Genomic DNA, 20,056 nt, shown 5'->3' on the forward strand with positions numbered 1-20,056 from the left:
TCTGTGAGGTTCAGGGATTCATCCTGTCTGAATCACGCCTGCCCTTTGTTTATGCATGAATAAGATATTCTAGACACTGAGGACACCGTGCAGACACTAGCCCTTCCTGGAAAAATAAGACCTAGACCTCAAATCAGGGTGAATACACGGACTGTCCCCAGTGCCAACTAATTTCTAAATGTGAATAAAGATACATTGGTTAGCAAGCTTTCTCCAGTTCTCCTATTGCCCCCTAACCTTTAGCAAGACAAAAATGTCACATATAATGGATCCTAAAATTAACGACACATTTTGCTTTTCAGTTGATCAGATCAGCTGAGAATGGGGTCAGTCTCTCACCTCTCCAAGATAAGAGGTTGTCACTGTTTGAGTGCATTTAACTGCACCACAGACATTAGGCCTCAGAAAATCTCTGACAACTTAGAAGCCCAGAATATAAATCAAAAATAAACCTGCAAAAAATTCAGCCCCATTCCCTAACTCCTGATAGGGCCACACCTAAAGCATCCTCTTCCTGTATTATTTAGGAAAACTTCTTTGCTCATCAATTCACTGAATAACTGTTTATTGGGCACCTAGTCTTTGCAAAACACTATTCTAGGCACTGGGGATCTTCTGGACACAATAGACAAAGTCCATACAGTGACAGAGCTTACATTCTAATAAAGGAGACAGGCTATCAACAAATAAGAAAAATGTATGGGAATAGTTAGTGCTATTTTGAAGACAAAACAGGATAATATCATACAGAAGGACTATACTACCTTGGGTAGTCAAGAAAGATTCTCTGAGGAGTTGACATTTAAGTTGAACGATGAATAAAATATATGGCACCCTGTAAAGATCTTGGCTAGAGGAAGAACATTCCAGGAATAGGAAATATCTAGTGCAAAGGTCCTAAGATGAAAGGGAACTTGAAGTTTTCAGGAAACCACTAGAATATGATGAAGGAGAGGAAGAGATATATAAGATAAGGTCAGAAAAGTAGACAGAGGCCAGCTCTCATAAGGTCCTGAAGACTCAGTAGAGCGCTTCATTTTGGTCTAATTATCATGGGAGCTATAAGATTTTTACAGAGGGGGCTTTTTGATTTGATAGGATTTTTAAAACAGTACCCTCGCTGCCATGAGGGGAATGGATTGTAGGAAAGCAAAAACAAAACCAGAGAGATCACTTTGAAGGCAACTGGTGTGGTCCAGATGAGAGACGATGAGGCTTTTACAGAGGTGGTACTTAGCAAAGGTGGGGAGAAATGAGAAGTGTAGAGACATGTTTTGGAGACTGAATGGCAGGATTTGCGGATGGATTTGATGCAGGGGATGAGAGAGTCAAGAATGACTCTCAGGTTTTAGCCGGCTGGTAGTACATTGGACCTGTTCACTACTTTAGCATCTGAGATTGTGACATTTCAGCCAAATGGCACCAAATGCACAATGAACTGCATTATAAATTTGAAATGCACAAGAGGAAACTGGCATATTTTACAAACTATCACCAGAGAAATCATCACCATTCTGATTCTTTCCTTTAGAGCAAGTGTGTTACTTGAGAAAGCCTCTAAGCATGCCTGCACACTCATAGTATTCTTAACTTAAGCAGAAAGAGTGCATTTCCTCATTATGTCCTCATAGCTGGGAGGCACATGAAATGGAGAGTGGGCTGGGGATTCTGTGCTTTGTTAAAGTGAAGGGACAATCAGCATCAGGAACATTAGCCATGGCAGTACACAGGATTGCACAGCGACGTATGAAAAGAAAAATCAGTCATCAGAATTGAATTTTTAGCTGGAGCCTAAGAGGCCAGATTTAATCATCCCCCTAAAATTATCACACAAGTCAATAATTCCTCCCTTCTCCTTGCAAAGGAAAAGAAATGGATTCTTTATTTTTCAGTCAAGCAGGTGGCCTTGAGGCAGCTAACCGGCTGGCTGAAATCTAAATACCTTCGCCAAGACAAAAGTCAGTAACATGATTGATTATCTTCTCATTGGAGGAGAAGAGAACCTCCCCCAGCCAATCAGCATACAGAACTGCTATCAGATTATCAGTGAACCAAACTAGGCTTAGAGCTGATAAACGAAGGTGCCCAAATCCCAGGCGCCAATTGGCTGGGGCTTCATCTACCAGCTCAATTACACTTGATGCATTGATTTCTAACAAGGTTCAGTTAGTTTCTTAGTTGTAAAGCCCCAGCTTTCTTTTTCAGACCTCAAATAAGTATCTACACTCCTAGTCCCTCATTTTAATATATCTGCTTCAACTGGAATTTGTCTGCCCCAGAGTGAATGCTTTCCTCCAGACAGGTTGAAAGTAGAGACTTCTGAGCAGCTCAGAAGCAGCCACAGGCGATCCCTACCAAACTCACTGGTCTTTCTCCTAGGGGTGAAAAAAATACCTTGGATCCATCCCACTTCACTGGAAGTGCACAGTTCAGATTCTGTCTGACCAGTGGTTTGTTGTCTTGCACCCCAAGCACCTTGACAGCAGGAAGTAGAATGGTTCACCCAGAGTGGCCTCAAACCAGAGTTCTTTGCACAGGGAGCTCCCGGGTTAAAGTAGGACCAGACCAAACTGAGTGTGAGGTGGCACTCTTAGACCACAGTGAGGTTCCTGCCTCTGAACTGAAGTTCTCATGTGCATCTACAATATCATCTGGTCTCAAACCCAGGAGGAATATGAAAATTGAGATTAAAAGACCCGGGCTAGACGAGGTGGCTCACGCCTGTAATCCCAGCACTTTGGGAGGCCAAGGCGGGTGGATCACTTGAGCTCAGAAGTTCCAGACCAGCCTGGGCAATGTGGTGAAACCTCCATCTCCACTAAAAATACAAAAATTATCTGAGCATGGTGGTGCACACCTGTAATCCCAGCTACTCAGGAGGCCAAGGCAGAATTGCTCAAACTCGGGAGGCAGAGGCTGTGGTGAGCCAAGATTGCACCACTGCACTCCAGCCTGGGTGACAGAGTGAGATCCTCTCCCCCACCCAAAAAAAGAGACCCTCTCTTAATAAGCAAAAAACAAAGGTTTCAAATTCCACTTGCTCTGTAATATTTACCAAGCCTATCAGTACCTCAAATTTCTCATTGGTAAAATGGAAAGGAAGAGTCACCAAAATAAAACACTAGAGAAAGGATTGTAAAACAGTGAGATTAACTTTCTACTGAATGGAAATCTCACCCATTGTGTCAGGGTAACTCCTCCTGAGACACCGTAGTAGAACGGTGTCCCTTATTCCTAAGAAAATCAAAGAATGCCGTTTACTTGCTGGCTATGTTTTTTTGTTTGTTTTTCCTTATTCCTCTTGAGGATTGCTGGTGTCATGGTTTGTAATGCTTGTTACTAGCCTTGGTATTTGAGCTTAAGAAAAAAGTCCTTGTAGAAAGAAGCTGTCACAGAGGCAAAAGGAGTCAACCAACCACCCATTACCCTAAAACACTACTTTCCACAAAGCTGAGGATGAAAGTCAAGAGTCATCATGTCATGGCACAGAAATCTTTCCTCTCTCCACTCAGGAAGGTTATCTTCCTCTTAAAGACTGAACATCAGACTTGTCAAAAAATGTTCCTTATTGATCTGACAGAGACAGAATATTGAAGTTAGAGAGATATTTGCTGAACTATCTCCCTTGTCTCGGGGAAAAGCTGAAATGCTGTTGTTGACCCTGACCATGAAGATTAGAATAGAGGTTGTGTGAAAACAGAGGTAGTGCTGAGTAGAGGCACCACCTCCAGCCTCGGAATATAAGCCTTGTGATTGATAGAGGCAGGAACCCAAGCACTCGGTGAGGGCGATGTGGGGGTGGGGGACGCGGTTGGCAGCTTGGCTCCTCTCCACACCAACCGGATTAGTGACAACATCACAGGAGTTCAGTGGCTGCTCTGGTTCTGTTTGCATTGTTTCCTTCTATGCTGTTAGGCAGAAGCACAAATACACCTTGTGAGAAAACCTAATATCAGTGACAGGAAGGAATGTTACTTTTAAAGGACTCCTTGCTCAGCCATGAGGCTCCATGCAGAGCCTCCTTCCAGACAGCCCTGATCCTCCTGGGCTTTTTCCCAAGGGGCAAAAAGCCACATTCTATAGACTGCACGACCTTGGGTTACTTGGTGGGCATCTGAGTATGTCTCCTTCCTCAGAGCGCTCAAAGTTCAGTTACAGTTCTATCTACAGGAAAGAAAAGGTAGAGAAAAGCCTTTCTGTGGTTTCTTTTTTTCCACATTAATGGTATCCTTTATACTCAGTGGTTTTTTGAAATGATAAAGAGAAGGAGGAAGGAAGGAAAGAGGGAAGGAAGGAAGGAAGGAAGGAAGGAAGGGAGGGAGGGAGGGAAGAGGACGCTTTTAAAGTCAAGAAAGTGATCAAGAGCATGCTGATGTGGCACTGACGCACAGCACCTGTGGGCATGGAGCAGCGAGAGCAGGGGTTGTAATCACAGAGGGGTCACGCCGCAGCACCTGGGGAGTGAGGGAGGATTCACTATCAGAATTGCCTGAGCAACTTCCCCAAAATACTATCCTCCTCCTCCTCCCCACTAAGATTCTGAGGTTGATTTACAGCGGACAGTGTGGAAGGATGTCCGAATGTGTCGAGTGGAAAAGGCAATATGCAGAAGAGTACTTTCAGGAAGATCCCATTTCTGTAAATAATACTGTCATAATTATATCTTATTCGTGCACGTCATTATAGTCCTAGAATAATGTGAAAGAATACACAGCAGATGTAAGCAGTGGTTTTCTCTAAAGGATGACATGATGATGGGCTTTCACTCTTAAATTATACATATTGGAATCTTTCACATTATTAATCGTTATGTTTCTCCCCCATCTAGTCTCACCAGACCCCTTTATAGTTACCCTGGCATGAACCACAGACCACAGAACAAGAAAAATGTTGCAAATACTCAATTTTTAAGAAAAAAAAATTTGTTTTTGCCCTAAATCTAGGGCAGGAAGATTCTGCCATACACTGACAGAGCAGAGGTTTAGGTAGAACCCCCATGTCTATAGAGAAGAAATGGAGGAGGCATATTACAGGGGCAGGAGTGGGTGACAAGGAGCAGCTATGATCCCCCACAGAAGAGAAAGTCCAGCAGGCCCCAGGGAGCTGCAGCAAGCTGAGAGGGGCTGAGGTGTTGCCGCTTTGCCCCAAGGTGAGGACCACCCATCACCAAGGGTTGTTGTCACCCGGTGGTGTCCCCTGTGGAGTGGCACTGATCTGCTTCCCCAAGTCTACCCAGCACAGCCCTGTGCCTGCCTCCCAACCACCCTCCAGTGGAAAACTCCCAGTCTCCAGTCCAGCAACACCAGACACTCATGAGCTGCCACCTTGGCCCTAATCAGGTGAGACACAAGCACTAGAGAGTGACTTCAGGGTGAAATCGAGCCTTGCGCTGGGCCAGGATGGGAACAAAGGGAACAAGTTTGGAGCAGCTGAGCAGGACGGCGGTGGGACACATTGCCTTTGATGTATGCACATTTTAGAATGCGTCATGTGTTGCTGCATGCATGTGCTGTTTTTGTGATGAAAAACCTGATTTGAGGGAACCCAATTTGACTCAACATTCACTATTTATCAAGTATAACCTCCACATTGACTCTTAAGACCTCCCCTCCCTCAACTTTCTGTCAGACCAAGTCAGCGTCTAATTAATCTCTGAGGACACCTTTCCATCTTCTATAGGCACACAGGCACCACACACCACACAATACACACCACACACACAGCACAGCATGCATACACCACACACACACCACACAATACACACCACACACACAGCACAGCATACATACACCACACACATATACCCACATACTACATTGCACACCATCTATCCTCCACACAACACACTGTACATCACACAACATGTACACAAACACACACACACCACACTATATTCCACACACCACACACATCACACACTATACACTACACACCACACACACTATACACCACACCCGCATACACACTATACTCCATATACCATACACACCACACACACACTCCGACACAGTATCACCATACACCATGCACACACATACACACACACCACACACCACACTATACTTCACACAACATGCACACACACACACACACCCCAACACACCACACATACCGTACTATACTCTATACACCACATGCACACCACACACAATATATTCCACACAATGCACATAAACCACACACCATGCAACACACACACCACACACACCACAGTATACACGACACACCACACACAGACCACACTATACACCCCCCCACACACACACCACTCGACACCACACATCACACTGTATACTCCACACACTGTGCACACACACACTATATACCCACCACACACGTGCCCGCCCCATGCAGCCCCTTCTCCTTTCCAGTTGCACTCCCAAGGCCTCTGCCTGGAATGCCACCCTCGGCCTCTCATTCTTTAGCTATTAAGTGAAGCTGACTGAATTTCCCTTTGACTTTAGACACAACCGCCTCGGGTTGCAGTCACTTGCCTGTCATTATCTGCCCTCATACAACTTGCATAGGGAACGTCTCCACAGCATGGTTAGTTCCACTGCACAATCACAGCACACAATTTGCCACTGTCCCTAATCTCTGACACAGCATCCGAAATTAACTGCTCTCCTACTACAGATGACCACTCACTAATCCTCCCAGGATCTGCAGCACTGTTTCCAGAAAGTACGTTTTCAAGCTGGAAAGGGTTTTTCCATCCTTCTTGACAGTAGTTGTAATAAGAATCCATTATCATATTAGCAGAGAATGGCGATGCTAAGAAGTGACATTTGCACAAAATTTGATAGTTGACAGAGATCTTGTCCCATTTGGTGTTCACTCATAGAATGTCATTCAGTCCTCAAAAAACGGGACATTAGAATGAGACTCTTTCACCTCCATTTCTACTGATGAGCCCAAAACAATTAATGATATAAAAGTGATTGGGACAGACCTCCCTTATGCAGATTTACAGAGATAACCCCCCAATCCCTTCCACAATTCTTGGTATCTGCATTTGGATAAGGATAGGAAAAGAGGGCAGAGAGAAGAGAGAATTTTGGTGAGTTTTGGTGAGACTCTTATCATTGGAGAGAGCTATGCTGCTGTAAGTCTTGTCAGTACCCAGAAAACCTCCCTGGGGAGTAGGGTGGTGTGGTCCCCCAGACCAGTAAGGGGACTTCAGGAGACCACATTGAAAAGTGTTTCCTGCAACATGCTGACCAGAGCAAATAACTCATAAGAAAAAGTGGCTGAAATGTGGAAACCCAGAGGATCTACACTGTATTCCATTTGCTTCATGAGTCTGACAGCCAGCAGGGGTTCTAACGCAGAGTCTGGCTGGGAAAGGAGCTGGAGTCCAGTTCTGGATCCCTGCTCACTGGGTCTGTGGCCTCAGCAGCTGTGGAGAAGGCAGAGGCTCGATTGCCTCCCACTTGTTGAGAGGCAAATGGTACACCCTTGACCTGTGGTTTTCACGTCACTGAATTGGGATGCAGCCCAAGAAGACAGAACCATCCCTGTTTTAAGACCAGAGACCATGATTTATCTCATCTTAAGGGAAAGAAAATGACCTCTATCTCCTTGCCCAAAGGAAAAGGGAAAGGAGGGAAGAGGAAGGAACAGGAGGGGAGGGGAGAGAGGAGGGGAGTGGGGAAGGGAAATAGGAGGGGAGAGGGGAGGGGAGAGGGGAGGAGAGAGGAGGGGAGGGGAGGGAAGTGGAGAGAGGAGGGGAGGGAGGAGAGAGGAGAGAAGGGGAGAAGGAGGAGGGGATGGGAGAGGAAGGGAAGGGATGGGAGGGGAGGGAAGGGAAGGGGAGAGAGAGGGTGAGGGGAGAGGGGAGGGGAGGGGGAGGCATTGCAGGTGAGAAGTCATTTGAAGTATCAAAAAGAAACTGATATCCTAGAATAATGCATCTGCTTCCTGTATTATTCTATTTCTGAGAATGAAGAAACACTTCTCTCACCTAAGAGTCACTGCTCTGTTTATGTTAGAGTCTAAATATGAGTGTGTGCCTCATCGTACACTGTCATCCCTTTTGCAAATGGCCACATGAGCCTGGACTAAATATGGGATGACTATTTAACATTATGGAAACTAGAAAAACACCACCAAACTCTGGAAAAGGAGAATATTTACAAAGTAAATGCCTCCTACTTGTGATAAACACAGTAATAAAAAAGCTATTAAAAATTATTGCACCACATTCTACTTTGAGAATCTTGGTTTGATTTCTTTGAAAAGCAGCAGAATTTGTCCCCATTTGAGGAATGAGGATGTGGTAGTTTTTATCCTTTTTTTTTTTTTTTTTTTTTTTGAAATTGTAAGGTTTCAAGGATTCTAGATAAATCTCTGCCTCTGGAAGGGTCAATCTGAAATAACCAGATTTCAGATTGTGACACCTACAAAATATGGAAATGAACATATTATCTCTGTGCCAGGCCCACAGCCAGGCCTGCATGCCACTCACTCATCCTGCAAGTAGTTGGAGAGCCCACTCTGTACCAGACACCATGCCAAGTGCTGGGCATACAAGAGTGAAAAAGACACACAAGCCACCTGCTCTCCTAGTGCAGTTCCAAGAAATCAGTTTGGAGAAATGGCTGTGAACCCCTAACAGTTGAAATTTCAAAGGAATTGTAACTCAGCATCAAATTAAGTTTTAGGTGTTTTGCTTTTGTTTTGTTTTTTTTCTCTAATCTCACATTTTGCACATCATAAATAATCATCATGTAAAGAGTTCACCAGTAAAGCACCAAAAGGTGCATCGTAGTCAAAAAACGTCAGCCCTTTTTGCTGCATGGCACTGCTAAGAAAAGGATCACTATTAAGAATAAATTGACTGGGCACGGTGGCTCACGCCTGTAATCTCAGCACTTTGGGAGACTGAGGCAGGCGGATCATATGAGGCCATGAGTTCGAGACCGGCCATGGCCAACATGGTGAAACCCTGTCTCTACTAAAAATACAAAAATTAGCTGGGCGTGGTGGTGCACATCTGTAATCCCAGCTACTCAGGAGGCTGAGACGGGAGAATCGCCGGAACCTGGGAGGTGGAGGTTGCAGTGAACCGAGATTGCACCACTGCACTCCAGCCTGGGCGACAGAGCGAGGCTCTGAAGAATAAATGGATATGTAGATGTAGGTTTGGTGCTAACTGTTTTCATACATAGATTCTGCTGCTAATTATATCATTTAGCAATTTTTTTTATGTTCTTTGATTTCCACTTCCCAGGTAACAGGGAAGGCTGTAGGAAGGGAAGAGTCAGGGGCAACAAACAAATGGATTTCTGTCCCACTGACATTTTATTCACTCAACATTTTGCTCCGTATTTAATAGGTAGATACATTTTAAGTGAAAGAAATTAGTCTCTGTTTTCCCCTTAACTTCTCTTCGAAAATGAATGAGATTTTTTGTAAACCTGTCTCTCTAATCTGCAGATTCTGTTTCAGTGGATCAATGAGAAAACATTTTGACAAGTCAAATGTTCATTTTTTAGGGGAAAAATAGCCCTCTCTATCTAGGCTGCCAAGACTGTGGCTTATGTGTTCTTAGGCCCTCAAGCTATCAATCTGCATTTCACTGCAGGCATTGCCCAGATGTCTTGGTCAGTGCACATTAAAGGCTTAGTTGCTGGCTTCTTAGGAAAGAGATTTAACATTAGCACATGTTCGATGTAAAGGAACATCCTTCTCCATTGAAAGAGAAATTTTATTTCTCTGGGAGAAAAAATTACAACGTGTAGTCACTAGGATGCATTATGAACCTGTTATTGCGTGTGGGATTTATGATCAAGGTCTCTTCTCTTCCGCAAGGATTCTTCAGCTAAGGGCGGAATTACAGATTTCAGCGCCCACAAAAATGTTTCACAGACCTTTGGCCCCATCTAGTGGCCATATCCTGTCAGGTCTCCCAAGCTTTTTCCTCTTAGAATTTGAAGAGAATGAGAGGCTCTGGCGGTGAAAGCTGAAGAGTTCATACTTTATACAGGCTTGACAGAAGACTACAGTTGGCCAGCAGAACTGTTGTGCCTCAGACCGGTGCTGGGCATATGACATTTCCTCATAGATTTCAGAGAGAGAGCTGCAATCGGATTCTGTGGCATTTAGAAAGGAGCTATTTTCAAACAAATCTGCAAAGTGCTAAGCTGTCTCTGCTTAGTCATTGGCTTGAAGCATACTCTGAAATGCACAAATTGCCTGTGTGTGTGTACACATGCAGGCACATGTGTGTGCATGCGTGTGTAGGTGTGCATGTGCGTGGAGGGCGTTGTAGTATGAAAATGTGCAGGGTTTGTGTGAACTCTGCAGTGCCAACTGGCATCAGGAAGGGACATATGGAAAATCACATTCCACATGGCCTCTAAATTTAGCTAAGCTGTCAATATCCTACACTAGCGGGGCCTTCTTTCTCCATGCTCTGGTTTAAAGGCTTAAAAACGGAAGCCAAGTTTAGCCCATTTGAAAGCTCAGGCGGTTAATGGTGCTGTCCGGAGGGACGTCAAACAGCAGCTTACACTATCCGCGGCGTGCAATCAAGATCCCACCCGCCTCACAGAAGCAGCGGCTCGGAGTCAGTCCCCTCTCTCTTCCACCCTACACCTGCCAACAGGCACGGAAACAAAGTGGTCAGAGGCAAGGGGGATCTGGGCCTTAAAGTTCCCTCTTTTGTTCTGCTAAGAGTAAAGGTCAACAGAAGTTAGGCATAGATGGAAATCCAGATTCCCTTAGACCCAGCAATTCTGTCTTCATGGAGGGAGGAAGTGCTGGAGATCGGGCTTCGGCAGCACTATGACAATGGCTATGAACATCTGTCTTAAGATGCTCTCAAGAGCAGACGAGTGGCCGAGGGGGGTCACAAGTTGACGTGGAGAACTCCTCCACTCACTTCAACCCTAGCGGATCATAAATCTAGTCATCATTGCTCTACTTTTCCCCTGCCCTATTTATTCTTATTGCCCTATTTTTTAAATTATTTTAAAATTATTTTTACATATCAGTAGGGAATTTAAAAGTAAAATGTGGGTAGGACAGAAATTCACTTTTTTGATTCCCTAGTCTGTTTAATCCCCAAGCAGAATGTATGCCTTACCCTCAAAAAGATATGTTTCCTCATTAACCCCCTTCCTGTAAAATAGGGCTATTAATAGTATCTACCCCATTGGGCTACTGTGAGAATTAAATGTGTTAATACATGTAAAACACATATAACAGTGCCTAAGCTCTCACTCAATAAATGTCAGCTATAGGTACTAAAATAATTCTAGCAAGTCAAATGAGCAGAGACAGAAACTAGATTATTTGCTCTTCAAAAATTCTTTTTACAGGTTTCATGACTATGTTTGCTTTCAAGAAATGCAGGTCTCCCTTCCAAGACCTGTAACTCTTTAAGGAGGAGATGACATTAAGAGATCCTCCATGGGACTCTACAGCCACCAAATTCCATCCACAACTCAGGAGACAAAGAGAATTTGAATGGGAAGATGTGGACTCTTACTGCCAACAGGCGCCTGGGGATGCCTCCTTGATGATCACACTAAAAGTCCTCCAGGACCCTTCAGAGAAGAGGCCCTCACTGTCAGCAGCTGTGATCACCTGTACTGGAACCTCTGAAAACCCTCAGGAGGCATTATAGATGTATGCTTCAAGTTTGGGGGCAGTCTTGGAATTTTAATTCTATGAAACTATCTGAACAGTCCACTCAGGAGAATGATTGACATACCACGGGTGGGAAAAAATTGCTTTATTATTCATCCTTACTGGGAAGATAAGTAATTTCAGCCTGACAAAACAAAAATGAGAAGAGGCAGAGAGAGTAAGCAAGTGAGATACAGAGACAGAAAAGCAGGTGAATGTATAGAGAGATGATAGATAGATACATAGAGGATAGATAGAAACAGAGACAGGTAAGTAGATAGGTAATTGGTAGATAGATATAGATACATACACAGATACGTGGATAGTTAGATACATAGATTATGATACATGCAAATACGCATGCCTAAATACATACAAATAGATACACAGATAATGACACATACATAGATGCAGACATACTTACATACATAGATAAATGTGCAGGCTATAGAGGAGAAGGGGAGAGCAAGAAACACACTAAATCAACCTTTTTGTTCCTCACCTGAGAAACATAATGGCATCCTACATTCCAGCTTGTACATCATCCCTTAAAAAGCTCATTGAGAAGTTTGGTCATGATCCTGTCCTTATCCCAGAGCTCTTGGGAAACCTTGCCATTAACTCTTACAATTGCTCTACCTGCTCATTCACTCCTGGGAAAATGTCAAGATCTTTTTCCTTTTGTGGAACAGAGGCTACAGTAAAGGCACTTTTCTTTTACTGAGACTTTTTCAGAAGGGTTTTTTTTCCCTCCTACTATTCCAAAGATTTTATTTTAGACTGCAATGGAAAGCACAAAGAGGCATTCAGCTCAGGCTGCAGATTGCTAGAAAACCCTTCACATGCCACAGAAATTAGAGAGGCAGCCGCACTCATCAGCAATAGTGTATAAATTTGGAAGGAGTGATTTTATAAAATCAGACCATTTTAGAATGAGGAGAAACATTAGTTCATCCTCTTCATCTGCAAGACGAGGGGACTGAGGTACTTAGGGTCTAATCTTTGACTACTCAAAGTGCCTCACTTTTCTCATCTGTGAAGCACCGGAATGACGGCACGGTGACTGAATTAACAACAGGTTGGTATTCAGGCGCTGTGCTGTTCAAGAGCGGGTGCTGCCTCTTTGGAAGGCCCTGAACCCAGCTGCCTTCTCCATGCTGCTGAGAAGTAGCAGAACTATTCCCATGCAGCCCTGGTCCCAGGCCTCCTTCTCCCTGGATTCCCAAGGTGTAAATCCAGATAGATGACCTGGCTGGTCCCAGACCACCTCATGATTACAATTCTGAGTGTTATTTACTCGAAGAGCACATTAAGCACACACCTGTGGTGAGGAATATTTAATGCAGATGTTTGGGAAGCAGCTTTGCCAAAATTATCAGAAAATGTATGTGAGGAAATTAGCCTCCTGGTCCCTCAGTGGATATTATATCTTTTATTGTCTTTGTATTTTGAAGTATTTTCTTTTTTAAAGATGAGGTTTTAAAGGACTGCTCCACTGAGGGCATGGGAGAGGGAGAAGGAGGGAGAGAAGAAACCAGAGAGTAAAATAACAGAAATGGGGATCCCACCTGCAATAACCTGAACCAGGTGGAGCCCAATCTTTCCACCACTGCTCCACAAGGAGCTGTGAACAAGAGCCATGTCTGGACAGAACAGGAGCTTGGAGTAAGGAGAGATTCCTGGATGCTATAAGAGGGAGACATAAAAGATTCGGGATACAATAAAGAAAGATGGCTTCTCCCAGTGGGCCAGGCTGTCTAGAGAGGGTGGACCCAATGGCATAAAGTGGTAGGAAAAGACACTGACATTCAACTAATGTAGAATTAACCATTAGGACCAGCCAGTGAGGAGTCTCTGGTGAACAAAATAGAGCAGACCAACCAAGCTCCAGAGAGCAGGACTTCCAGGGCCAACAGTCTTCCTGGCAGACTAAAAGAGGAAATCTTAAAAGATCTGTAGGTCAATGTAGAAAATGTCAAACTTCTCCAGGAGAGAAAGAAAAATGATTATCTGGACTGAGCCTGCAAGATCACCACAGGAGAGAAAGGTACTTGGGAAAACATTACAGAAAGATGGCCTGCGAGGGTGGCATGGGGCTCCTCTCCACCATTTTCAGGAGGATGAATCCAAGTAGTCCTTGGGGGCTATGGCATGGAACTTTCAGTTGGGCAATAAATACGGCTAGTTTCTTTTTTGATTCACTCACATCTTAGAAGGAAGACAGCCTGGGGGTGTCTCCTCCTGGGAGCTGCTCCTGCCCTATAAGGATGGTCTGGAGGCCGGGCACGGTGGCTCATGCCTGTAATCCCAGAACTTTGGGAGGTCGAAGCAGGTGGATCACCTGAGGTCGGGAGTTCGAGACCAGCCTGGCCAACATGGTGAAACCCCATCTCTACCAAAAATACAAAAATTAGCCAGGCATGGTGGTGCATGCCTGTAATCCCAGCTGTGCCAGAGGCTGAGGCAGGAGAATCGCTTGAAGCTGGGAGGCTGAGGTTGCAGTGAGCTGAGATCACATCACTGCACTCCAGCCTGGGCAACAAGAGTGAAACTCCATCTCAAAAAAGAAAAAAGAAAAAGAAAAAAAGAAAGAATGGTCTGGGAAGGGGAAGGGGACAGGAGAGCACACAGAATGAAGGGCAAAAAGGTGATGAAGGTCACTTGGCCTTTTAGCGCTGAAGGACACGGAGGGTTGTCTCTAGCCTAGGGAAAGTGAGTGAGTAAGTATTCTACTTGAGCTAGCTGGCAACTATATTGGGGTTTAGGGTATGGTGCAAATAGCCTCTGCCTGGCTCTGCGCTCTATGCAAATGTTTTCAGGGACTTCATGTGGGTGTGGATGTAAAGAGAGAGGAACGCACACCCTGCACAAGCAATTGTGTAGAGCAGTTCCCAAGAGGAGTCTTAGCGAACCTGAGGATGAACCTTAAGTACCCCATACGCAGAAAGATGAGAGAGGAAGATGAGAAGGATCAATGAGCCCCGTCACTCCACACAGTCTAGTCTAGCATCCAGCCTAATCAGACCTGGAGAGCGAGAACTGGCCACATAAAACAAGGAATCCAGGAACGTGTCGAGGAATTTCCCACACACTTTAGGAGAGGGAAGACAGGACTATGGATGATGACTCGCTGCCTTAAGAATGTTGTATGGTGTCTGGAATATTTGCTACATCCCTGTGGCTGATTGTTTTCCTCATTCTCTTTCCCCATTGTGAGCAGCACTGGAGTCCTTAAACATGATGTTTTATGAGCTGCAGGAAATGAGAAAGCCAGAAAAATAAAATATAACCCAAAAACCAGACTTAGATTGGGAAGGAGAAAAAGGCCCCAGGGAGAAGCAGAAGATAACTGCTCAGAAGAAGAGCCTGAGGGTCAGGCTGAACCTCTGGAGCTTTCATAGCTTGGTGAGAAGGGAACCAGTCAGAGGTATGAGGAGGGACACAAACGGTGAGAACGCAGCCCTAGGCTATGAGAAGTCATGAGTGCTGGTCTCAATACTGTATCTACCTCTGTGACTGAGGGCGAGCCTTCTCACCTCTCCGGGTCTACTATGATCAGTAAATCAGGATGCTGGCCAGAGCAGTGGAGTACCAAGATGGGAAATATGAGAGTGGTCAGCCCTGGGTGCAGGAAATGAGGAGTACATTGTCATTAGAAAATTTTTCAACAATAAAACAGACTCAGCAGTTCTGCTTTTTATTATCATCATGCACAGGCAATGGGAAGCAATGTCTGTGTTAAAATGCTCCTCCCTACCAGGGTATTGTATCTTATTCCCCCATCCTCTTTGGGATGATGCAAGGCCAGAGAGCCCTTAGTTGGCAGGAAGTCCATGGAAGAGCTTTCCAATGCCACTCAATAATTACAAACAATTAGAGCTACACTAACACTGAAACACGGTATTGCTGAAAAAATTAAGAGAGGGAGTGTAGTAGGCTAAAGAATGGCCGCAAAGATATCAAATCCTCATTCCTGGAACTAGCAAATGTTAGTGTATTTGGCAAAAACTTTGCAGATATGATTAAGGATCTTCAAATGGGGAGATTATCCTGGATTATCTCTGTGGGCCCTAAATGCCATCACAAGTATCCTTATAAGAAAGAGACAAAGGGAGATTTGACACAGACAGAAGAGAAGGCAATGTGGCTGCTTCAGGCACCCACCAGGAGCTAGAAGGGGCAAGGAACAGATTCTCCCCTGGCTCCTCCAGAGGGGCGCGGCTCTGCCAAAACCTTGACTTCACACCAGTGAAACTGATTTCAAACTCTGGCTCCCAGAATGGCACAAGAATACATTTCTGTTATTTTAAGCCGCCCAGTTTCTGACAATTGGTTACAGGAGACGAATACAGGTAGTACCACAATCAATGCAGAATATCTTCTTCAAGGGGGATTATGGTCTCCAGAGAAAGGACTTTCTGTCATTCTATGGCTCACTTCAATCTGCCTCCTCTCCTTGGAGTCCAATATCCCAGAAGTTAGCAGAAAATACTACAGATGAAGCCTTGTGAACACAAATCTGGAAAAACAGCTCTGACAGCTGTTTTTGCCCCCAGTAACCTCTGGCAAACTCTGCCCCACAGAAGATGGTGCCTTTGGGACATGAAATTCGAATTTGCCACCAGACCAGAGTTCCTGCAGTTCAGAGATCCCGCCTGGGCCGGTGTTGGTACTCAGAATGACATCCTGGTCGATTCCTGGGAAGCCTCCCCAGTTGGCTTTGCTACTCATTCTCTAGGTCTGGACGGTCCCCTTGGTAAACATCTTTTGTGTGCTGTTCGGATGGCAGATCATTTATTCATTGCATGAAGCATTTCATTAGTGACCTACTTTCTCCCTCCACACATCACAGAAACCAAAATCCCTGCTTAAAGTGAAAACCGAACAGAGCCAAGGGCCCAAATAAACAGATTGTGTTTTAAACCCAAATGGGCAGAAGCAAAACAACAGGCTCACCTGGGCTTGACTTCCCCCTTTAAAAAAGAAACTTAAAAAGCAGTAAAATGCCATACAAAATACTGGTTAATAAACTTACTGAAAATGTGAGCTGCCCCTGTAGTTTATCCTTGTTGTGCCTCATGTATTCAGCCAGCATGCTACTAGAAAAAGCCTATCAGTAATGAATTCATGCGAATCAAAACATGGTTTAAGTACATTAAGGAAGAGTTTCTCACTAAGGAAATCTCCCCGCGAATTCTTTTATAACGTGAGGGCTCCATTTTTAATTTATTTTTGATGAAAATCTGGATTCTTCCTATCATATTTGCTTAAGAAGAGGTGCAGATTTACAAGTGCAAATTCAAGTGAGTTCTGCTCCACTGCCAACGTTAATTGCTGTCCTTCTTTCAAGGAAAGGTAGGATTCTAAGCCTCCATTGTGCCACTTTTGCAAGCATCAACTTGCCTGGCCTTAGGAGAGTTCCAATAGCAATTTCCACGTCTTATCCTCAGAGCAAGGAATATTAGGACCACTGAGTCGGAAAAATCATCAAGGGTCCCACAGTACAAAAATGCACCTAACTTCAGGAGGAGGGGAAGTTTTAGTAAGAAAATAATAAAAGGTGATATTGATACAAGAGAAAAACTCAAAATACTCTAATTCTATAATATGAGTAGTTATAGAAATAAGACAGGGGAAGAAAAAGACCTGAGACAGACATATAGGGAGAGAGAAAGAAGGGAAGAAAGAAAACCAAAACAAAATAAGAGAGTTCAATGAGAAAAATCAAATACTAGAAATGTTCTGATTCACATATATTCATTACAGATAGGGCTTTTTCTAGCAGGAGAAGAAGGTACAGTGGGTTCCGCATATGTATAAAATCTCCTTTGTTCCTGGACCTATGAATTTTTTTTTTTTTTTGACAGAGCCTTGCTCTGTTGCCCAGACTAGAGTGCAGTGGCGCAATCTCAGCTCACTGCAACCTCCGTCTCCTGGATTCAAGCAATTCTGCCTCAGCTTCCCAAGTATCTGGGACTACAGGTGCCCGCCACCACACCTGGCTAATTTTTTATATTTTTAGTAGAGAAGGGGTTTCACCATGTTGGCCAGCCTGGTCTCGAATTCCTGACCTCAGGTGATCTGCCCACCTTGGCCTCCCAAAGTGCTGGACCTATGAATTTAAAACTACCTCCTAGGGGTCGGGCATGGTGGCTCATGCCTGTAATCCCAGCACTTTGGGAGGCCAAGGCGGGCGGATCACCTAAGGTAGGGAGTTCAAGACCAGCCTGACCAACATGGAGAAACCCTGTCTCTACTAAAAACACAAAAATTAGCCAGGCGTGGTGGTACATGCCTTTAACCCCAGCTACTCAGGAGGCTGAGGCAGGAGAATTGCTTCAACCCAGGAGGCAGAGGTTGTGGTGAGCTGAGATCAGGCCATTGCACTCCAGCCTGGGCAACAAGAGCGAAACTCCATCTCAAAAATGAAATAAAATAAAATAAAATAAAAATAAAACTACCTCCTAGGCTGGCACAATGGCTCACCCCTATAATCCCAGCACATTGGGAGGCCAAAGCGGGAGGATCACTTGAGCCCAGGAGTTCAAGACCAGTGTAGGCCATATAAAGAGACTCCAATCTCTACAAAATGTTTTTTAAATTTTTTAAAAATTAGGTGTGGTGGTGTGTGCCTGTATTTACCAACTACTCAGGAGGCTGAGGTGGGAGGATTGCTTGAGCCCAGGAGTTTAAGGATGTAGTGAGCAATGATTGTGCCACTGCTTCAGCCTGGGCAACAGAATGAGATCCCATCTCTAAAAAAAAAAAACAAAAAAAACAAAAACTACCCCCTGGTTTCACCGGTTTTGAGGGTTAGGATGAAAAATAAACAAACAAATAACAATAACGAAAGTACCACCTGGACTACATTTGCACAATGTCTTATAATTTTCAAACAACCTTCCCTTTTGATTCTCACAACATCATGATGAGCATGTCATTTTACATATGAGTACACAGAGATTCCGTTTGTTCCCCACCCAGGATTTCTCAGCTGGAAATTCAGAACCTGACTTCAGGGCAAGGGCCTCCTGGTTCCCAGAAAAGTGTCTTCCCCATTATCATTCTGAAATATTATACAAGGGGTTGGGGGCACAATGCACCCTGGAATCCTCACATGTGTCTTTCATTGTGTGTAGGCAAATACCTTGAATTCATGCCCCTCATTCATTTGTACTAAATTATGCTTATAACCTGTCTTAGCTCAGGCTGCTATCACAAAATATCATAGATTGGGTGGCTTAAACAATAGACATCTGGCTGCGTGCTGTGGCTCACTCCTGTAATCCCAGCACTTTGGTAGGCAGAGGTGGGCAGATCACTTGAGGTCAGGAGTTTGAGACCAGCCTGGCCAAAATGGTGAAACCCCAGCTCTACTAAAAATACAAAAAATTACCCAGGCATGGTGGCAGGTGCCTGTAAGCCCAGCTACTCAGGACGCTGAGGCAGAAGAATTGCTTGAACCCGGGAGGTGGAGGCTGCGGTGAGCCGAGATCACGCTAGTGCACTCCAACCTGGGCGACAGAGTGAAACTCTGTCTCAAAAAATAAAAATAAATTAAAAAAATAGACATCTATTTCTCACAGTTCTGAAGGCTGGGAAGTCCAAGATCAAGGCACCAGTAGACTCTGTCTGGTGAGGGCTCTTTTCCTGGCTTAGACAGCCCCACCTCCTCAATGTGTGCTCATATAGCCTTTCCTTGCTTGGTGTGTGCTCGTGGAGAGAGAGAAAGGGGGATCTCATGTTGCTTCCATTTCTAAGGGATAATCCCATCATGGAGGCTCTATTCTAATTATCTAATTACCTCCCAAAGGCCCTGATATGGTTTGGATCAGTGTCCTCACCCAAATCTCATGTCAAATAGTCATCTCCAATGTTGGAGGTGGGGCCTGGTGGGAGGTGACTCAAGTATGGGGGCAGATTTTTCGTGAATGGTTTAGCACCATCCTCTTGGTGCTGTTCTCAGGATAGTGGCGAGTTCTTGAAAGACCTGGTTGTTTAAAAATGTGTAGCACCTCCCTCCTCTCTCTCTATCTCTCTCCTGCTCCTGCTCCTACTCCTACCATGTGAGACACTTCACTCCCCCTTTGCCTTCTGCCATAACTGTAAGTTTCCTGAGGCCTCACCAGAAGCCAAGCAGATGCCTGTGGTGCTGGTGGTGGTGGTACTGCTGGTGGTATAAAAACCCATGTACTGGATAAGCAACGGCTTCCTGTACAGCCCACAGAACCATGAGCCAATTAAACCTCTCTTCTTATAAATTACCCAATCTCAGGTATTTCTTTTTTTTTTTTTTGAAAATATCTTTTTATTATTATTATTATACTTTAAGTTTTAGGGTACATGTGCACAATGTGCAGGTTAGTTACATATGTATACATGTGCCATGCTGGTGCGCTGCACCCATTAACTCGTCACTTAG

The 20,056-nt window shown here is 44.5% G+C and overlaps 1 long non-coding RNA gene across 1 annotated transcript in view, besides 1 other annotated feature; it reads right to left on the reverse strand.

Moving 5' to 3' along the window:
• Positions 1–20,056, reverse strand: part of LOC105377448 (uncharacterized) — a 192,690-nt gene that overhangs the window by 41,382 nt on the left and 131,252 nt on the right. The window lies entirely within an intron of this gene.
• Positions 4,749–5,250: an enhancer, noted in NCBI's record as "H3K4me1 hESC enhancer chr4:139787241-139787742 (GRCh37/hg19 assembly coordinates)". NCBI's record gives its function as "activates a minimal SCP1, AML or CMV promoter by ChIP-STARR-seq in primed H9 embryonic stem cells {active_cell/tissue: H9 hESC(primed)}" and the evidence as "EXISTENCE:reporter gene assay evidence [ECO:0000049][PMID:30033119]".

This window comes from Homo sapiens, chromosome 4, assembly GCF_000001405.40.
Source record: "Homo sapiens chromosome 4, GRCh38.p14 Primary Assembly".
In the NCBI taxonomy this organism is placed as follows: domain Eukaryota; kingdom Metazoa; phylum Chordata; class Mammalia; order Primates; family Hominidae; genus Homo; species Homo sapiens.